The sequence below is a fragment of the Homo sapiens genome, chromosome 8 (genome assembly GCF_000001405.40).
Source record: "Homo sapiens chromosome 8, GRCh38.p14 Primary Assembly".
Taxonomy (NCBI): Eukaryota; Metazoa; Chordata; class Mammalia; order Primates; family Hominidae; genus Homo; species Homo sapiens.
Window position 1 is genome coordinate 118,856,772 of NC_000008.11, and position 7,533 is coordinate 118,864,304.

The 7,533-nt window shown below is 36.6% G+C and overlaps 1 long non-coding RNA gene across 1 annotated transcript in view; it reads right to left on the reverse strand.

The window, feature by feature from the left end:
- The window catches only part of LOC105375723 (uncharacterized), a 28,587-nt gene extending 23,452 nt beyond the window's left edge, over window positions 1–5,135 (reverse strand). Inside the window, exon 1 of the long non-coding RNA XR_928581.3 lies at window positions 4,988–5,135. This is a non-coding gene — a long non-coding RNA (uncharacterized LOC105375723). The remainder of the gene's footprint in view (window positions 1–4,987) is intronic.
- Between the last annotated feature and the right edge of the window lie 2,398 nt (window positions 5,136–7,533).

Consider the following 7,533-nt stretch of genomic DNA (forward strand, 5'->3'; position numbering starts at 1 on the left):
GGATGTGAAGGACCTCTTCAAGTACAAATACAAACCACTGCTCAAAGAAATCAGAGAGGACACAAACAAATGGGAAAATATTCCATGCTTGTGGATAGGAAGAATCAATACTGTGAAAATGGCCATACTGCTCAAAGTAATTTCTAGATTCAATGCTATCCCCATCAAGCTACCATTTACTTTCTTCACATAATTAGAAAGAAGTACTTTAAATTTTATATGGAACAACAACAACAACAACAAAAAACCAGCCCGTATAGCCAAGACAATCCTAAGGAAAAAGAACAAAGCTGGAGGCATCATGCTACCTGACTTCAAGCTATACTACAAGGTCTCATGTACTCTTATCTTCCCTTAGCATTCTCTTTTCTCCACTTCGTCAATAGTTAGATGTTCTCATTGTGTCTCGTAAATGTTTTAGGGTCTCTGATTCTGGATTCTTTTGTTCCATTTTTCTCATGCATTATATCTTATTCCAAAACCCTTCATATTTACAGTCTCCTGAGACCTTCCTCCTTGAAAATGATATATTAATCCATGCTAATCAGTTAATGAGTTACTTCTTAGTAACTTGCTTTCATTCTAACAAAGACTTTTAATAAACATAATATATCTATTCTAAAAAAGTAACACAAAAAGTGGAAATTATAAGCACTTTGGTTGGGTCAGTGGGAAATGTTGAGGGTGGGGGTTGGTCAAGGCCCTCTTTAAAATCACTAGAAAATAGCCCATTGACCTGCCTTGTTGAATGGAACATATATAGATAGGGGTGCTCCTAATTTCCTTGAGGGGACTGCATGACCTTAGCATTCTTTTTATACTTTTTAAAATCTGATGTGATTTTTAAAAATATATAGAGAGTTTATACACCTTGAAGGGAGAAATTGGGACCAAGGTTTCCTATTAATTCAGAGAAGCCTGAATCCTAGCTAGATGTCAGCTGATTCCTAGACCCTTTTAGGGAGTTTGGCCTAAAGGACCTGGCCACATCACTGTGGCCCTTTTCTTCATGTTAAGGACCTTAAACCCTTGGTGTTGCTTATGGACACATGTTCTGTCCCTGAACAGAATTCTGAGTTCTGTGTGGTCAGGACCTTGGCATTTTACTTCCTTTCATGTTCCATGCTAACCTAGCACAGGCTGGGGACATAACATTACTTAATGAATATCGTTAACATATCTTTCTAGAAAAGAGACCAAAACAATTATGCACTTGTTACCTCATGTTTCCGGCAGAAAGCAGCCTTTGAAAATAGTAAAAGCATCAGTATCTTTATTTTTGCAGAAAGAAAAACAAAAGTGTCCAAGTGACTCATCTTACAGCGCCACTGGAAAGCATGGCAGAGCTTCATTAGAACTAAATTTTAACAAGTGGCTAAAGCAGAGAGCACAGGGAATATGACTTCTTCTGTGATCACTCTGCCAGCCCTTGTTCTCCCATTAGGAGGTTTTGAGCAAAAAGGAGAAGGAGGAATGACTGAGAACATGAGCTGGTTTCATAGGTAAGTTGGAACCAGAAAGATTCTAGTTATTCTCGACACCCAGTGGCATCAAGGAGAAAAAGTGGTGAGGCCTTGTTGTGGTGCTTAAAGGTGCCATGCAGAGCCTTATCTGCTTCCCTTAGAAGCTCTCTTCATGTGCCATCATCTCAGATTTTGAAATTCAATACTCAAAGTTGTTCCCTAGGTCTGCCACTTACTAGCTAAGAACTTTTTGGCAAAGCATGTAGTAGAGGTTCTAAAGCCTTCCCAATTGCCCACAAAGCCCTGCACTATGGGGCTCCTGGCTGCTTCTGTCCCCTCCCTATGGGCCACCTTGCCATGGACTCACCTTTCCAAGCAAGCTCCTGCCTGGGGGCCTTTGCACTTGCTGCTCCCTCTCCCTGGAATGCTTGTCCCTCGGAGCTGCATGGCTGATGCCTCACTTTGTATAGGTTCCTGCTCATGCCAAAGTATCAGTGAAGCCTTTCGTGATAGCCCAATTTAAAGTAGCCCTTTACTAGACTCTGGCTTCTGATTCTGATAAAACATAACAGAGTGTAATATCTTCAGGGACTATAAGATCTCTGAGGTCAATGAACAGGTATTTAATGTTTTTATCAGAAAAAGAAATGATAGATTGGGAAGGCAATGCATGTGTTAATTAGCTTAATTGCACCTTTCTACAATATATAAATAGATCAAAACATCAGGCCAGGCACAGTGGTTCACACCTGTAATACCAGCACTTTAGGAGGCAAAGATAGGAAAATTGCTTGAGCCCATGAGTTCAAGACCATCCTGGGCAACATAGTGAGACCTATTCTCTAGAGAAAAAAAAAAAAAATAGGCAGGTGTGGTGGCACGTGCTTGTAGTCCCAGCTACACAGGAGACTGAAGGGAAGGATTGTTTGAGCCTAGGACTTCTAGGCTACAATGAGCTGGGATCTTGCCACTAAACTTCAGCCTGGGTGAGAGAATGAGACTTTGTCTCAAAAAAAAAAAAAAAAAATCACATAGCATTCTAAATGTGCACAAATATTATTTGTCACATAAAAATAAATTATATATATATGAAAAAGCACATATCTATGAAAAAGAGACACCATCTGCTTTGTTCAAAATTGTAGCCTCAGTATCTGTATCCTTGTATGTAATCATTTAATGTATTTAATGAGAAAATGAAGTCTCTTAAATTTTTTGTTTTTGTGTTATTATATGAAAAACAAGATTAATAATCCTACTTTCTTTTTGTGAAGAGTTGATATATATAAAAAATCTTGGTAAACTTTAAGATACTATACAAATGTAAATAATTTGCATTTTTTATAACTGAGTAATCTGCAAGAAATTTACTAAAAGCTTTAAATTTAGATATTGATTAACTTTTTTCTTTTCTAAATTGTATTAACCATTTTCGGAACTTTTGTCTTGTTTTAGGGATTATAGTCATGATATATATGATGATCAATAGTAATAATCAGGTACATTTATGTAGGTATAGATATATATAAACAGAGAGATAGATATATAGGTGGATAGATAGATAGATAGATAGATAGATAGATAGATAGATAGATAGATCTGGAGAAGCACAATGCCCTGTTCATTGGTTCTATTTTCCAGTTTCCTTAGTCTTTAACAAGATCAAGTAAAATTCACGATTCTAGCTATCTTTGAATACAAGGGAATTTTCCCAGTTTAACAGTAGTCAGTAAGTCAAGAGGAAGAACTTTCTTGTTAGATGGAAAATAATACACCTGACTTCAGACACAGAAACTGTGATGTGCTGTTGGGACTTCCACTTGAAAATCCCTAGTGGGTTGTTGATTATTAGCAACTGGTGGGCAGAAAGAAGTTAGGAAGTATTATTTATTTGGGTTTCATCTGAATGTAGATAATAGGGTTAAATGTGAAAACTGGCTATTCCCCTATGCAAGTTCAATATTAAAACAGCAACTTCAAATGGACATGGTAGTGTGTGAAGTGCTTCGCATATGTTAGACATCATGCTTTGTGTTTTTCTTGCATTATTTCATTTAATTCTCATAATACCCTCATGAGTAGGAGCTAGTTTTATCACCATTTTCAGTTGAGGTGACCAAAGTTTGCTGAAACAAATCAATTTGCAAAAGCCAACAGAGCTAGTAAGAGTGGGAGCTGGAATTCAAACCCAGGTTTGTCTAATTTGGAAGCCAAAGGTTTTAATTAGTATATTAGATTTTATACCGTTTAATTTATACAATAAAAATTAAACACATATTCTTAATCAGGAGGGCTGTCCCCTTACAACACATTACATGAGAAGCCCAGCAAGTCATGGAAATGACTCCAGTGTTTTAGTAACACAGCTCTCTGAGAGTAGCATCCAATATGAAACCCAAAGGGGGATTTCATATTTTCTGCTTATACATTGGCTATTCATAGTATGTTCTTTACAAAAGCACTACCCTTCTTTTTCAAAGTGCCAAGGAAATTGTGTGTGACATGGGCTTTTGAGTAGAGTTCAGTTTTATCTATGTAAGTATTGGGATATGTGTTATATGAGTATTTGTTTCTCATTGAAATAAATGTAATGTGCATATTATAACTAAACTGAAATAGTTCCTGGCATGAAAGCACAGAATGATGAATGAAACCTAGTGTGATTTGCCTATAATTGTGCTCCTCTGTGTCTGCCTTACGTCCTTTCTTTTATTTCATTCCACACAAGTCTAACAGAGAACAAGCAGCCACACTAAATCATACTAAATTATTCAATACAGCACTTGGCGGATGTTTGTGAGGTATGTATGTTAAAGATGATGGTAATCTTTGTAGGGAAGAGAAAGGCCAGAGGACTTTCACATATTCAGGAAATGTGCTTAGACATGCATTTATTTTCTTTGCTTTGTTTCTTTTAAAGATTCACAAGCTTTTGTGAGTGTATTACAGCGGAGCTGGCAGACAATCCTTATTTGTTTTCTCCATTAGATACTTAAGGGACAGATACCATGCTAAAGGGTATAGCAGTAGAGGAGCTAATGTACATAGGCAGTGGCACTGGAGGCTAAATACACACACACCCCCCACACAACCTAGGAATAATTTAGGCAGTAAATATTAAACACATATTCCTAATCAGGAGAGCTGTCCCCTTATAATGCATTACATGAAAAGTCACTGAATAACTCCAGTGTTTTGGTTACACAGCTAGAGAGAAGACGGGTTTGAAGAGCGGTGCTAAGATTCCAGACAGGCCAGCAGCAACAGTCAAGCAGCCAGTAGGTAGCTGCCCTTGCACTCGACTATGATTTATCTGCAAATCTCCAATTCTTGGCAACTGGGACTGGCAAGAATGAAGACAGAGACTGAGAAAAGTTAAAAATAAGTGCAGTTTTCAGAACCAGAACAAAAGTGCAGGAATAAGCCACGCAGGTGCAAAATTCCCAGTATTTGGCTGGAGTAGTTTAAGTTTCTCCTGTCCTCTGTCAGAACTAATGCAAGAGATTAAGAATCAGACCACTTACTTCTGTATGTGGAGTCAAATAGGTCCAGGCACAAAGCACAGTCTTTTACTCCTGAGTTTGCATTTTGCTGCACCAACAGTAACTACAACATATGCAGTGATATTGAATTGGAATAGCAATGCAATTGATTAATGCCAGGCAACCAAGTGATTCTGTGAGAGTTGGTGAATTTATAAATATGTACAAGTGAACAAATGTTTATCAACTCATAATTATCTTTATTAGGGTACAATTAAGAAACAGATGGCATATTCAATTAGAGTAATTGAAAAAAGTATTAAGAAAGGTTATCTTCAAGGATGTAGGCATGTTGAAGGGAAATCAACCACAGACGATGAAGCACCCTGGGGTTAGTAACTGCTGGAAGTTATTACCATTTTTAGGCCTAAAAGAGTAGAAACAGAACAGAAACCACCTACACAGTCCATATTAACATACTTTTGGTATTTCATACAGTTCTTTCCTAGGAAGATAAAGTTTTAAATAACTTTATTGCTTAATTTAGAAAATTTCTACAAGTCCATTTATTTCAAAATCATACTGTTTAACTTACCCTTATTTGAGTAAATAGCCTCTTATCAAGATAACAGATGATTCAACTGAGCTTAACAAGCAAATGTTTATTCTTTAACTTACCTGTAAAACCTGTCTTGCTGTATGTACCAACCCTAAACTATTATATCACAAGTGTTGCCCAATTCTTTTTTTTTTTTTTTTTTTTTTTGAGATGGAGTTTTGCTCTTGTCTCCCAGACTGGAATGCAATGGCATGATCTCGGTTCACTGCAACCTCTGCCTCCCAGGTTCAAGTGATTCTCCTGCCTCAGCCTCCCAAGTAGCAGGGATTACAGGTGTTTGCCACCATGCCCAGCTAATTTTGTATTTTTAGTAGAAATGGGGTTTCACCATGTTGGCCAGGCTAGTCTCGAACTCCTAACCTTAGGTGATCTGCTCTCCTTGGCTTCCCAAAGTGCTAGGATTACTGGCATGAGCCACCGTGCCCGGCCAAGTTTTGCCCAGTTCTAAGCATACTCCTACATTGAAAACTTTACCTTAAATCAGACCCTCAAAACATATATATCTTGACTTTTCTCTCCCTCCTGCAAGATGCTGCTAAGAATATGTCAACATAATGATCTGTCTTCCTGTGAGAAACAAAAAACTCAGCCTTGTCCAGTCAACACAAACTCTCACATGTTGTAGACTGCATCCTTAAAAATTTAGATCTGCAAAAACTGATCTAGAAAAACTTGCCTTTCTAGAAATACGCTGAGGTAACATTTTAAAAGCTGGTTTTTAGTTCTAAAATAAGTTGAAAATCACAAATAGTAAAAATCACCCTGGAAAATCCCTAAATTGCCCATAAATATAGAGTACAAGATTCTTGGTAGATAGCTCTGTTCACTAATATGCATGTATTACAGGATAATATGTTAAACATGCAATTCCATAGAAAGACCATAATCAGCAAGTAAATAATTTGAGGGTTTTTGCAACACTTCACAATTTTGTGGAAATTTTAAATTCTAGTGTTATCATTATTTTCTACAATAGATTGTAGCAATTTTCCCAATTTTGGTTAATGTTTCCCTAAAGACTTCCAGGAATTATTTTGTTAAACAACTTCTGATGTTGAAATAAGTTCCAACATAAAGTTTCACAAAAGTACAAAGAATAATTGTATATCCTTTACACAGATTCACTGATTTTGAATATTGTCCCACATTTGCTTTTTTTATTCTCTCATTGTGTACACACACACACACACACACACACACACAGGTTTTTGCTGAACCATTTGAGAATAGATTGCATACATCATTATTTTTTATCCCTTAATACTTTAGTGTATATTTCTCAAGGGTATTTTCCTACAAAACCACAACCTAGTTATCAAATTCAGGAAATTTAATATTGTCATGCTAATTTTATCTAATGTAGAGTCCACATTCCGGTTTCTTCAATTATCCCAATAATAGCATTCATAGCAATTTTTCTTCTAGTACAGAATCTGGGCCAGGATCATGTATTACACTTAAGTTATCACATTTCCTAAATCTCATTTAATTCAATCTAAAGGCTAATTTTCTTAGCCTTTTTTTTCCCCTCTTTCCTAACCTTGATATTTTGGAAGATTACAAGCTAGTTGTTTTATAGACTGTCCTCAGTTTGGTTCACCTGATGTTTCCTTATCATATGACTCTGGTTTCGTACTTACTGGCTGGATTGCTAAATACATGATGTCATGTCCTTCTTAGGCTGTCACATTTGTAGGTACGTCATGTGTGTTTACACTTTATTTATGATGTTAACGTTCATAACTTGGTTAAGGTGTTGTGTGGTTTCTCTGTTGTACTGTAAAGTGTAATTTCTGTAAATTATAATTTGTAGGGATGTATTTTGAGATTATGTTAATAACCTGTTTCTCATCAACTCTGGTCCCATTAATTCCTTAATTTCTTCCTGGAGGAGTCACAACCCTCTTCATCATGTATACAATTTTTTCATGTTTGATAATCCCTTGAGAGTGGGTTTGGGAAATCACTG